General features: G+C 41.6%; 6 annotated features.

Moving 5' to 3' along the window:
- Positions 769–868: an enhancer, noted in NCBI's record as "active region_20839". NCBI's record gives its function as "activates an Ori minimal core promoter by ATAC-STARR-seq in GM12878 lymphoblastoid cells {active_cell/tissue: GM12878}" and the evidence as "EXISTENCE:reporter gene assay evidence [ECO:0000049][PMID:35858748]".
- Positions 3,841–4,135: a silencer, noted in NCBI's record as "tiled region #4767; K562 Repressive DNase matched - State 5:Enh". NCBI's record gives its function as "represses a minimal TATA promoter and a strong SV40 promoter by Sharpr-MPRA in K562 cells {active_cell/tissue: K562}" and the evidence as "EXISTENCE:reporter gene assay evidence [ECO:0000049][PMID:27701403]".
- Positions 5,421–5,715: an enhancer, noted in NCBI's record as "tiled region #10654; K562 Activating DNase unmatched - State 5:Enh". NCBI's record gives its function as "activates a minimal TATA promoter and a strong SV40 promoter by Sharpr-MPRA in K562 cells {active_cell/tissue: K562}" and the evidence as "EXISTENCE:reporter gene assay evidence [ECO:0000049][PMID:27701403]".
- Positions 5,573–5,672: an enhancer, noted in NCBI's record as "active region_20840". NCBI's record gives its function as "activates an Ori minimal core promoter by ATAC-STARR-seq in GM12878 lymphoblastoid cells {active_cell/tissue: GM12878}" and the evidence as "EXISTENCE:reporter gene assay evidence [ECO:0000049][PMID:35858748]".
- Positions 11,271–11,790: an enhancer, noted in NCBI's record as "OCT4-NANOG-H3K27ac-H3K4me1 hESC enhancer chr3:177062319-177062838 (GRCh37/hg19 assembly coordinates)". NCBI's record gives its function as "activates a minimal SCP1, AML or CMV promoter by ChIP-STARR-seq in naive H9 embryonic stem cells {active_cell/tissue: H9 hESC(naive)}" and the evidence as "EXISTENCE:reporter gene assay evidence [ECO:0000049][PMID:30033119]".
- Positions 12,311–12,828: an enhancer, noted in NCBI's record as "NANOG-H3K27ac hESC enhancer chr3:177063359-177063876 (GRCh37/hg19 assembly coordinates)". NCBI's record gives its function as "activates a minimal SCP1, AML or CMV promoter by ChIP-STARR-seq in naive H9 embryonic stem cells {active_cell/tissue: H9 hESC(naive)}" and the evidence as "EXISTENCE:reporter gene assay evidence [ECO:0000049][PMID:30033119]".

Genomic DNA, 13,895 nt, shown 5'->3' on the forward strand with positions numbered 1-13,895 from the left:
CATCAACTTCATGCCATTCAACTGCCATTAAAAAGAAAAAGTAAGTAGATAGCAGCAGCCTTAACTGAGATCCCTTCTTCTAAGATAAGCCCTTCTCTATTTCCCATATCTGGGATGGAGGCCCCTTAGGGATTCTACCTTTGAGATTGAATATACCCTATTGTAATTATATACTTAATTGTATTTTCTCTGGGTGGTTCTAAGCTGTTTGAGGCTTGGGCAATCTTATTTATCATTTTATTCCCAGATCCTAGCCAAGTGCCTGGCCCATTATTATTGTTCATTAAATATTAATTTCAATGGAATAGAATGTCATTAATACCAACAAGAAAAATCAAGAAAAAATGTATTCACAGCTAAACACAAAGTCTCAGACTCTCTCCCTTTCTACAACTATGTCCTTCTATATTTAGCCCTGATCCTTTCTTATTGGGTTACTCAGCTTGTTACCCAAGAACCAGAGTGATGGCTTAGAGTGACAGGGTGCTGGGCTGTCACCAATCATACACAAAGTGGACAAGGCATTGAGACGTAGTCATTTTGACAGAGAAGTGACATTTTGATACAGCCTAAAAACAAATTGTTAAATTTTCAGCTTTTAAAAAGGACCAGTAAATGTGTGCAGCAGACACACTCACCTCAAACCTAAGCAAATCAAACCTCCTCAGGGACCCGTAGAGATGGATACAGCTGACAAGTTTAGTGGACAAGCCAGGGTGCAGGTCTCCTGACCTGGAGAGTAGTGCTTTCTGCCTGCCCCACATTCCATCTCAAAGGGCAGAGAGGAGAAGAGAAGCCACCAAGCATCAGCCCTGTGCTGCCTCAGGGTGCTCCCCTTGTTCTCAGACAGATCTGTTCTGCTCCCACCAACTTGGGTTTAGTTTTGCTTTAAAATTTATCTTGAGAAAAGAATGAAAACTTTTTCTTGTGGTAGGGCCAGTTGCTAAAGTCTAAGTGTCAGAATTTCATAATTGAGTTCAGATGAGGTCACTGTGGTTTGAGGGAGCTAGGGCGGGCTGTAATGAAGACAGGGTCAGCATTTTCCAGGGAGGTGGCCCAGCGGATGTTCTAGGAGGAACTTCTTAGGAGTGGGAGGGAATGGGGACACTGAGGGTGGGCCACGTCCAGAAGCCCAGGATGGCAGGTGGTTGGCATTCAGGGTATTTATCTTCAGATGTCACGTCCTCCACCACCTGCCTGGGGCTTCAATGCTCATATGGCAGCCTGCCTTTTCCTTCCCAGCACTTCCCTCGGGTTGTAATTATATATCCTATATGTGTAATTTTTTTTTTGGCCCTGTCTCCCATCAAGCAAAGATCATGCAGTTTTGTCTTATTGGCTTTTGTTGCTGCCACTCTGTCCACAGGCATAGCACAGTGTTTGGCACATAATAAGCATGCATACATATATCTTGAGTGGATAAATGATGGAATAAATGAATTAAGTCAAGTTTATTGTATGTATTTCTAGAGGGACTAGGTTAGGTTACATGGGGCTTCATTAATGGAGAAGAAGGCAAAAGCACAATTATCTAATAAAGATGGCTCGGGGCTAGGAAAGTAAAGCCGTAGATGCTGAGACTCAGAATCCAGGGCCAAAGTTATTTGTCTCTCCAGGCTGAGGTACTGCTAGGTCCTAGATTGGATTAGACCTGAGCGTAGGTGTCTTCAGGTATGCTGAACAGAACGGAGAGGTCTTGGGTCTATGCTATCTGGGAACAGTGCAAGGCTGATCCAATGTCTTTTGAACATATTTGGTTCAATTCATTCCTTTAAGCTCAGAAGGCTACTACAGGTCTCTTTTGGAGTTAGAGTGTACACGATAATTTTTCTCTCCCCTTTGCTTTCTAAACTCTTTGGCCCAGTCTGAATCATGTTATCTGAAGTCAAGGAAACACCAGTGATCATCCAAAAACATATTACCCCCACTCCATCCCTACATCTTCAAATAACGTACTGTTCTTTTGACCTACTTCTCTCCCTGTCTCTCTCTCTCATTCTCATTAAGTGGAGACCTGTAGGTCTGTGCACAGACCCTGAAACATATTCAGAATGAAATACTCAAGGTTGGCCAGGTGCAGTGGCTCGCGCCTGTAATCCCAATACTTTGGGAGGCTGTGGCGGGCAGATCACTTGAGTTCAGGAGTTTGAGGCTAGCCTGACCAACATGGTGAAACCTCGTCTCTACTAAAAATACAAAAATTAGCCTAGCGTGGTGGCACTCATCTATAATCCCAGCTACTTGGGTGGCTGAGGCATGAGAATCAATTGAGCCCGGGAGGTGGAGGTTGCAGTGAGCCAAGATTGCTCCATTGCCCTCCAGCCTGGATGACAGAGTGATACTCTGCCTCAAAAACAAAACAAATCAAAACAACCTCAACAACTGAAGGTCCTTCTTCCTTTGGCTGAATCCTTTTAAAAGAGTGGCTTCTGTTCCCACTGTAGAAAGTTGTGAAAAGAGGCCCAATGGGATTGTTCTGCAGGTCCTCCTGCAGAGTAGTGAATCACATACATTAGTTATAGGAACGCTTGTATTTGGTGATGGAGGGGCTCACACTAGTCTGGACCCTTCCTCTCGGCTGATGCTCAGCTATGGTGCTCAGTATCATTCATTCACAGGAGAGCCAGTTCCAATCGAGTTCTCTCTCCAATAAACCACACTGCTTAGGACTCACCCTTGTGCAATAAAATTGTGGCAGGGCTAAAAATAGAAACCACAAATCCTGCCTGCCAATCCTGCATTCTAACCTCTAATCTACTTGTAGCAAGGACAAATGTTTTCAGGAAAATAAAATGACACTGCATAGAACACAGTGACACAACTGTCCCTATTGTCAGAACTTCCACTCAAAAAACCTGGAGAAAAGAGGATGAATTCCATCTTCCACACCTTGGTCACCATATACCTAGTTTCAACCTTCCTCTAATTTCTAATACAATCTGAATTACAAAAGCAATGAAAAAAATAAAAAGAGAATACAAAGCAGGACGGGGAGAGAGACATAAATATCCCCCTTGTTACAACTTTCTTAATGATGGGAATTTGTCTTTTGTGTTTCAGTACAATGGAAATGGACTAACAGAAGTTCAGTATTAGATTAATAGGACTCTCACTTTGTCAAATGGAAAGCCGGTTAAGGGGGTGAATTCCTTAACCTGGATTTGAGGACAGAGGCATCCTGCTTAGTAAAAAGTACCCTCAGAAAACCTGAATGTGATCCCCAGCTTGCCACTCACATCTAGTTCAAAAGGGAACCAACTATTTCATCTCCTGCAGCCTTGGAGTTCTTATCTCTAAAATGACATGATGGCCGGGCATGGAGGCTCATGCCTGTAATCCTGGCACTTTGGGAGGCCGAGGCGGGTGGATCACCTGAGGTCAGAAGTTCAAGACTAGCCTGGCCAACATGGTGAAACCCCATCTCTACTAAAAATACAAAAATTGCAGGCATGGTGGCACATGCCTGTAATCCTAGGTACGCTGGAGGCTGAGGCAGGAGAATTGCTTGAACCTGGGAGGCGGAGGTTGCAGTGAGCTGAGATCACACCACTGCACTCCAGCCTGGGCGACAGAGCTAAACTCCTTCTCAAAATAAATAAATAAATAAATAAAATGGCTTGCAATTAACAGCCTTGTATGCACAGAACTGTTGTGAGGCTCAGTGAGACAGAATTCATGGGAAGTGCTGCATAAATGGTATGTCTATCTATAACTGAGGGATTATTATTGCTGGACACAAATTCATTTATTGTTCTCGATTGGATGTACACATAATTCAAATTCCCCAGAAAACAGCTCTGCCCTTCATTTCCAGCTGTGTGGTATGCAGCTTCTAAACATTTTTACTGAAACCTTGCCTCTTAACTGTTAGTCTTGAGGGTCTACACACAGCTCCCACGCTCAATTAACTGTTACTTCCCCAGGCAGCTGCAAGGCAGAAATTTCTGATTTGTGTTACAACCAGTCTAGCCCTCTGTGTCTTGGCTACGGACAGACATGCCTCCACAAAGACACAAACCAGAATGGAATCTAACAGGAACCTTGGTGAGAGATGTGCTCTGGGAGGAATGAGATATGAAGACAGGACTCAAGAAACGGTGGCTATAGACTTCTTATAGGAGGCTTTAACTTTCTCAGTTTTGAAATGCCATATTTGTTTTGCTGTGCGATGAATATAAGTGAATTAACAATGTGCTTACAGATTTCTTAGCTGGTAATGTGATAAAATTTAAAATATTCTTGTTTGGTATCATTTTGAAATTTTCTTGGCACTTATGAAACTAATGAGAAACACCCGCATGCTGTTGGAGAGAGTGAGTGCATTTTCAGGCCCAGCATTTGGGAGCTTCAGTCTTCCGTAATTCAATGCATGACAATAGATTTATTATTGAAGAAATGAAGAAAGAGGTCAGGCAAAAAAACCAGCAATTAATCATTTGAAGACACTGAGTCATCTACTATTTTATGTCAGAAATCTTGTAGCCATGTTTACATAATAATAAAACAGCTATAAGAGGGCAGATGTTTTAGGCCTAGACATTCGCTAGTCAGTAACATGTAAATGTGAGAGTCCTCGTGGTTACGGTTTCACACCTTTCCATGGCGGTTGCCAGTCAGTTTTTCCTTGCTGTTCATAAGCTACCAAGTAATACACATTTGTCTTCACTCTGGTCTGCAGTGAAAATAAAATGAGAAGAGAAAGAAGAAGATATGAAGTGGAACAATGTGGTTGGGAAATTCCCATATCTTTACCCTAAAAAAAAAAAGAAAAAATATTACTCTTTTAAGTAAGGCCCAAGAGAATATTAAATGCATATACTATGATTCAAAGAAAATAGTGTTACCATTTAGTCATCAAAGTGGACCTTTGGTCTTGGCAGCATGTGTGAAACTTAAGGGTGGCAGCATGTGCTCTGTTAGTGAGTACATTTGTAGCAAACCACAGGGGTCTGAGTTCTTATTGCCTAAGTGCCCATTTTCTTGGGTGTTTTGCTTTTGTCTCCAGAATATCCAGAGAATGAGTTTGTTAATAAAAAATAAAACTGGCCGGGCGCAATGGCTCACGCCTGTAATCCCAGCACTTTGGGAGGCCAAGGTGGGCAGATCACCTGAGGTCAGGAGTTTGAGACTAAAAATATAAAATTATCTGGGTGTAGTGGCGGGCACCTGTGGTCCCAGCTACTCGGGAGGCTGAGGCAGGAGAATCGCTTGAACCCGGGAGGCAGAGGTCGCGTTGAGCTGAGATCGCACCATTGCATTCCAACCTGGGCAACAAGAGCAAAACTCCGTTTCAAAAAAAATAATAATAATTTTTTTTTTAAAGAAGGGTAGCCAACAGATGAAGAAAAATAAGTAAATTCCTCCAAGATTCAAGACAAGATTTAAATACTTTCTAGCCATTTATTTTTCTAACCAGATTTAATTTGGAAGTATGAACAAAAAAAGTTATAGCATCACGCTCTGGTCAGCTTGTCTCAGATAATGGCTTGTGTGACCAGTGGAGGTCCTGGGGGAAGGGAAATTCAGAGGGCAATAAGGAACTTCTCTGTTATCTCAGAGTTTCACAATACACACAGGAAACATTTGTAGCTGGTCCTCTGTTAGCCTGAAAGATTAGCTAATCCCTTGTTTCACCATAAAATGCATTTTTAGCAATAGTTCCTGAACTGCAAGCAAAAACTCAGGTGGCCAGCTCATAGTCCTCCTAAATTACAGTTGAAAGATGCTTTGCATTGTAGATATTGGCTTGGGCAATAAGGAAACTGGTATAGTTCCTGGGGATGTGCTGGGCTGACATGAACCTCTCTATGCCCCACCACCAATGGAGCAAGCCGATTTCCATGTCCAGCATGCCGTATACATTCTACAACAGTGTTCTTAGGGTAGTATTGGATTCCTGAAGCCCAGAGATGGATTAACTGTCCAGGTGCCCCAGATGAATTCTAACTCAAATTAACACATCCTGTCTATACAACCTTTCAACTCTATATAGCAAAACTGTGACCTCCTGTTCAAACAGGAAAGATAAGCAGCCACATTTTATCATGGTGGTTCCTGAATATGTTTGCTACTAGCCTGATTTACTCACTTATAGTTTGCCCACTAGATCTTTTTCTCTAGACATAGTCATTTCTCTTTTTTCTTTCTTCTCTTTCTTTCTCTTTCTTTCTTTCTTTCTTTCTTTCTTTCTTTTTCTTTCTCTTTCTTTCTTTCTTTTCTTTCCTTTCTTCCTCTCTCCCTTCCTTCCTTCCTTCCTTCCTTCCTTCCTTCCTTCCTTCCTTCCTTCCTTCCTCCCTTCCTTTCCTTCCTTCCTTCTCTCTCTCTCTCTTTCTTTCTTTGTTACGGAGTTTTCCTCTTGTTGCCCAGGCTGGAGTGCAATGGAGTGATCTCGACTCACTGCAACCTCCACTTTCTGGGTTCAAGCGATTCTCCTGCCTCAGCCTCCCAAGTAGCTAGGATTACAGACATGCGCCACCATGCCTGACTAATTTTGTATTTTTAGTAGAGACGGGGTTTCTCCATGTTGGTCAGGCTGGTCCTGAACTCCCGACCTCAGGTGATCCACCTGCCTCGGCCTCCCAAAGTGCTGGGATTACAGGCGTGAGCCACTGCTCCTGGCTCATAGTCTTATTTTATTTTATTTTATTTTATTTTATTTTATTTTATTTTATTTTATTTTATTTTATTTTTTTGGGACAGAGTCTCGCTCTGTTGCCCAGGCTGGAGTGCAGTGGTGCGATCTCAGTTCACGGCAACCTCTGCCTCCTGTGTTCAAGCGATTCTCCTGCCTCAGCCTCCTGAACAGCTGGGACTACAGGCACATGCCACCATGCCCAGCTAATTTTTTGTATTTTTAGTAGAGACAGGGTTTCACTGTGTTAGCCAGGATGGTGTCGATCTCCTGATCTCGTGATCTGCCCTCCTCAGCCTCTCAAAGTGCTGGGATTACAGGCGTGAGCCCCTGCGCCCGGCCTATTTATTTCTAAAAGACCTGGGGGAACTTTTAAAAACTATATTTTAATTTGTATAAAGAATGTATCACAGATTTATTGTGCTGGAAGAGATTTATTGTGCTGGAAGAGGTTTTAGAGATTATCTAGCCCAATGGCCCAATGTCTTTATTTTAGGTATAAGGACATGAGAGGCCCAGAGAGGTTAAGTACCTTGCTCAAGGTCACTCAGCTAGTTAGCTGTAGTAGATCTACCATATGAGCACATGGTTAATTCCTAAAGTATTCCCACAGGTCCTCTGTATTCACAGCTCCTCATTAAGCAAAGACCTTAACTCAGAGAGCTGTTTTGTGACACATGTTACACCCAGCACTTTTCACCTTTAAGATACTGGGACAGGACCACCAAGAATACCAATGGGCTGAGATCAGCTTGGAGGGTCAGCTGCTCACAGGGTTTCCTGTGCACTAAGGCGGCATGACAGCTGGGGAGTATCTATCCTGTTTGTCTTTCTGAATAACCCTCATAACTGAGATGGCATTTGGCATAGATTCCAAATTACAAATACGATCAAATTCATGTGTGCTACCCCACAGTGCATGATGAGATTATTTATTTATTTTGTGTTAATTAATTAACTAATTTTTATTTTTTGCTTTCATTATTATTTTTAACTGACACATATTTATGGGGTACCGTGTGATATTTGGATACATGGATACAATGTATAATAATCAAATCAGGGTAATTAGCATAACCATTACCTCAAACATTTATCATTTCTTTGTGTTGGGAACATTAAAAATCTGATCTTCTAGCTATTTGAAAATATGCAATTTTTTTTTTTTTTTTTTTTTGAGAAGGAGTCTCACTCTGTTGCCCAGGCTGAAGTGCAATGGCACAATTTCGGCTCACTACAACCTCCGCTTCCCAGGTTCAAGCGATTTTCCTGCCTCAGCCTCCTAAGTAGCTGAAACTACAGGCACGTGCCATCATGCCCGGCTAATTTTTATATTTTTAGTAGAGACGGGGTTTTGCCATGCTGGACAGGCTGGTCTCAAACTCCTGACCTCGTGATCCACCCGCCTTGGCCTCCCGAAGTGTTGGGATTACAGGCATGAGCCACTATGCCTGGCCTGAAAATATGCCATGAGTTGTTGTTAGCTATAGTCACTCTCTAGTGCTGTATGAACACTAGAACTTATTCCTCCTATCTAACTATACTTTTGCATTCCTTAACCAACCTTCGGCTACCCCTCCCCCACCCTGTCCCACCTCTAGTAACCACTGTGAGATTATTTATTTTTATCCATCTTGTACCTCAATGGTTTTTGAGGTTCTCTCTTTCTATACAAAATACAAAAATATAAAATAACATTAGAAACAATTAGGGTGAGGGCAAAATTGTTTTGTTTTTGATAGAAAAATAATACAGATAGGTAAAACTGATACACAGAAATAAATATTATAAAGCTTTTGTTCTGTGTTTGGAGAAGAATGTAAAATTTGGCTCAGAGTTTCTTAGTGGCCTCAGCAAAGGGAAAAATGTGATCTATTATAAGATTCAGAATGTTTGTGAGATTTAAAAAAACGCAATTCAAGAGAAACATAGTTTTTACTCATACTAAAACCCGAGAGGTTTCTTCCTTGATAAAATCCTTTTAGTAGAGATCACAGTGAATTTCATATGGCTGTGTCTCATATTCCTCAGTGCAAGTCAAAGGCACAAACAACGAATGCAAATCAGAAAAGGCGTTCCCAGGATATTGAGCGTGGGAGCAAAACAATGGGCCCACATACACACTGGACTATTTGGAAATAAGTGAATTGTACATACTCCAAGAAATCTTCTGTAGATGCTATTCCTTAAAACCATTTGAAAAAATAATTGCTGGGCAGCAGAGAAATAAGGAATTAAATAAAGGGTTCAATGAAGATATTGCTTTCTGAGACAAAGGCTGCAAATTCTCCCCGGTGTCCATGTTCTCTGCTGCTTTTGAGGCCACAGCTAGATTGCATTTCCCAGTAGTTGGGTGTGATCATGTAACTGAAACTGGGCCAGTGGAATATGAACAGGCCTTGCCTTTAAAACCCCCATGTGCCTTTCTCACTCTCTTTTCCTGTCCAACCTCTGAACTCAGAGGACTCCATGGATCTAGAGGAAGGCAGAGCTATAAGACGGAAGGACCCTGGGTTACTGAATGACTGTGAAGAGCAGAGTTGCTGATCTACACAGGAGTGTGATATGAGTGAGAAATAAACTTTTTTGTTTGTTTGTTTTGAGATGGAGCCTCACTCTGTTGCCCAGGCTGGAGTGCAGTGGCGCAATCTCACCTCACCACAACCTTTGCCTCCGGGTTCAAGTGATTCTCCTGCCTCAGCCTCCTGAGTAGCTGGGACTACAGGTGCGTGCCACCATGCCTGGCTAATTTTTGTATTTTTAGTAGAGATGGGGTTTCACTATCTTGGCCAGGCTGGTCTCGAGCTCCTGACCCCGTGATCCACCCGCTTCGACCTCCCAAAATGCTGGGATTACAGGTGTGAGCCACCGTGCCCCGCCGAAAAATAAGCTTGTATTGTATTCATTGGGGTTTGGAGATTTGTTTCAGCAGCTAGTATTATACTAAATAATAGAATTAAACTTTCAAACTGCAAGTCCCATCAATGAAGCAGATGGTTACATAATCTAATCACCTTTCCTTACACTGAGAAAACAACAACCCAAATCACTACTTTTTCAAGGCCATATCCTTTGACTTCCACTAGTCTCTAGGAGACTGTTTAGTAAGCAGATTGGACCACCTGGGCATTACCTTTAAATCTGCTATCCATGTGCCCTGGGCAAGTTACCTCACCTCTCTAAGCCTCAGACGCTCCATCTATAAGATGGGGATAGTAATAGGACTGCCTGTAAGAGTTGCTGGAAGGAAAAAGTTGGTACCCTATACAGAGTGCGCAGCCCGGGATTTGGGATGTGGTAAGCACATGATAAATATTGGCTAGTAAAGGTCATCATTCTTTACAGATGTATCTTCATATTTCTGGCTGATGGTGGGGAAGGCCCACAACAGGACAAGCTGTGCCTGGGCAAAGGTGACTGAGTTTCTAGCAGTAAAGCAGTTCACAGTAACCAGGCTCTCCTCCTGTCCACCTCACCCTTTCCCTTTCCTCTCTTTTTAAATTCAAGCAACAGCTCACACAACCTTCAGACTTTGAACTAGGCTACTGTGATCTGAGACCTGTTCATTCCACCCAAAATTTTTGAATAACTTTCATAGGATCCTTCTGGAAAAAGAGGATAATAGCAGTGACAACAACAATAATTCCTGATCGTTAAGTACAGTGCTTTTGAGTTTGTGAAGTTTTTTTTTTTCCACTCAAAATGCCCATGATGATTCTACCAGAGCATTTTTTTTGATGTTGGAAAATCTTACAACATTCCCTGATAAGGCATGTTTCTGAAATGATTTCATAAAAATCGACAGTTTTGTATTAAAACAAGAAATAATTCAATTTCTGAGTGAAAGACTATGCACTACGTAAATCTTTCTTGAGGAATTTAGAGGGGTTTTTTTTTTCCCTTGCACCTGACTGGATATATAAACATAGCTAGAGTCTTGGCTAATAATAACATCACAATGTGTACAGACCCAGCGCTCTTCAATACCTTTGCAGAGTTATTTGTGTCGGAAAGGATTTTATCATAAGCACATTTCTTCTCTCAGTATCACATGATGCGCCATTGAATTTCCCATCATACAAACTTTCTAATCTCATTTACAGTCACAGAGGTTGAAAATAGATAACTAATCAGCATTTAAGTACCTTATAATCTGTAAGGTAAACCAGATATGGCTAGACTGGCAGTGGAACATTCCAGAGGTTGCGGACTAGGGGATCCTGACTCTAGTCCATTATTAATAAGTTCTGCGACTTCTACAGCCCCTGGATCTCACTGTGATTCAGATTCCATATGTGCAAATTGAGTTTGTTCCTCTAAGTTTCCCTCTAATCCTCATACAGTCAAATGAGTGTCATAATTCTAAATATTTCAGCTTAATTTACGACAGTGTCCTTACTCATGATTCAAGACAGACTGGGGCCACATATAGGATCGCTGTGGCCTTTTCTTTTCTCTTTTCTTTTCTTTCTTTCTTTTCTTTTCTTTCTTTTTTTTTTTTTTTTTTTTGAGACAGAGTCTTGCTCTGTCGCCCTGGCTGGATTGCAGTGGTGCTATCTCGGCTCACTGCAAACTCCGCCTCCCGGGTTCACGCCATTCTCCTGCCTCAGCCTCCCAAGTAGCTGGGACTACAGACGGCCACAAGCACGCCCAGCTAATTTTTTGTATTTTTAGTAGAGATGGGGTTTCACCGTGTTAGCCAGGATGGTCTCGATCTCCTGACCTCGTGATCCGCCTGCCTTGGCCTCCCAAAGTGCTGGGATTACAGGCATGAGCCACCGCGCCCGGCCGCTGTGGCCTTTTCTTAGCCTAGGAAATCTGTACTGGGAGATCTGCCAGTTTCCTTGGCCTTAATCTTCTTCAGTTCTAACAAATGTTCCCATAGTGACAAGTTGTATTAGAGTTGACGTGGGCTGCTTTCTTCCCATTCTATTCTGTTCTATTCCATGTATCTATTTATTTATTCTGTTTTACATTTAAATCTCATAGTGCTAAAGCAAACTTCTCTTCTGAGAATGCCTATTAGGCAGTTAGAGAACTGACCAAGTGACTAAATATAACTTTAAGACCTGACTTTGCTTGAGCTCTTCACCGGTTATTTAAATCTATTTAGAATTTAGCTATTTGGTTCATCTGATGGGTTGACAATTGACTTAATAATAGTTATCCTTTGTCATAGGATTCTTCTTTTTCATGAAGTATTCTGAGAGTGAAATTGGGGATAATAGGGCACTTGAGAATGGGGTTAGGGAACTGTAGATACCTGCAAATTTGCAAAATGCTGACAAACAAAAGAATGCAAACTAAAAAAGAATGGAGGCGATTTAGAAAGTTACATTTCTTTGACTCAAAGATAAGGCTTTACCAAGGAAAGCAGAAGGGTGGAATGGTTTCCTGTTTAAGTACTGGCTGAATAGGGTAGTCTGTGTGCCGTTTGTGAGAATGTTTCCTAACAGGAGGAAGTCTGCAACGCACTGCAAAACCTAACCTGATCATACAGTATTTGATACCCTCGGACACAAATCCAGGCCTAGCCAAACCTCAGCGTAACTTTGGCTCCCAGCCAGTTTGATTCCTGTAATATTATTCAGTGTGAAACGCCATCGACCAATTTTATTATTTTTAGAGAATAGGACGTGAACTGATAGCCAAATGGTAAATAAAACCCCACTCCCCCATCCAGTTTGTTGTGTACTGGGAAGCACTGGGTGTGCTGAAGAAACGACAAACAGCAGGGGTTTGATTCTTAAAACGTTCCTGTACTCTAGGTTTTTGTGTCATTGTTGTTGTGTTCCTTATTTCCTTTTTGCCATCAATGGTGGCAGTTATTGGATAGGCCTTGGCCAGCGCTCCAGGGCTGCTGCTTTGCCCAGTGACTGTATCTTTCCTGTTAGCATGCTGATCATACTTGGAAACTATGAGTCAGTGAAATGCAGCCGCTAGCAGTGGGGGTGGGTAGATTACTAGGGAAAGTGCAGCCAAGACTTCCTGTACCAACTCAGGGCCATTATCTTTGGGGGAAGGTAGGAACTCACTATGGCAATAGGAACACCTACATTCACCTGGCATTTGCTGTGTACTACATTGATTTAGGGAGGGTATAGGGGCACAAATTAAAAAAAAAAAAAAAAGAAAGAATTAAACCTTCTTTTGTAGACACCAGGGTGGAGCTTTGAGAGTCATGTTATAATATCCCTGTTATTGACACCTTCAACTTGCTATTAGTTGCTGAGACTCATTAACTATTCACATTTGTCTGCCCTCATTCAACTCCTAGCAACTGCAGTTACAGTCCTATTTAAAATAATAGAGTAAGATTGGTAACATTACTGATTTAACAGGAAATTAGAAGACTTACATTCATAGAGCTTAGGTAATTGACACCAACAGCACTTTTCTTGTAATTTATGCACTATGATTGATTTCATTCCCCTGCTAGCCCTAAAAGAATCTCTGAAGCATATTCAGCCATCAGATTACTGTGCAAAGGAATTAAATGAGTATTACCCTGCTATCTATTTCAGAGCTGGTAAAAAGTTTCTAAGTGGTTTGGAGCTCAGGAGTCAGTCTAAAATTATAATGCTATTATAAAAGAGTTCAGCTTTAGAGCATTTCTTTGTAAGTGACAACTGTGGATTCACATGAAAAGGGCTTATTACTGAAAACGAGGACAAAACTACAAGTAGGTCATTTGTTTATGATTTTAAGCGTATTTTTTTGTAAGCTATATATGTATTCCCCGGCTTACCCTAAAATACACTCACTAACCTATAACAGTTGTGTTATAAATGATCCATTTCCAGATGTTTATTTAGTGTGGTATTTGGATCATAATATATCGCCACGCTTCATGCTTCTCACCCTCCACAATATAATTAACAATGCTGAGTGCAAGAAGTCTGATAAATGAGGAGGAAATATATTATTTAAGCCATGTATTCTACTCTGGAAATTTCATGAAACACTGGCAAAGAAGAGGTAGTAAATCTACAATGTTCAAATAAATCATTATTATTATTATTATTATTATTATTATTTTATTTTGCTATTTATTGAGCAGAGTAGGCATGGTCTGGGATCTACCTGCTTATTTCTCTAGTTTCATGTTCTCTTTTGTGGGGCTGGGTCTAAGGAAACCAGTCTACACCCATAGGATTCTAGGACTCTGGGGCTCCTTGCACACAGCTCACAAGGGGACATGCCCAGAAATGGCCAGGCTCCAGGTATCCTAGGAGGAACTGACCTAAGGTAAGTCCAGTTGTTG

This window comes from Homo sapiens, chromosome 3 (assembly GCF_000001405.40).
Source record: "Homo sapiens chromosome 3, GRCh38.p14 Primary Assembly".
NCBI lineage: Eukaryota > Metazoa > Chordata > Mammalia > Primates > Hominidae > Homo > Homo sapiens.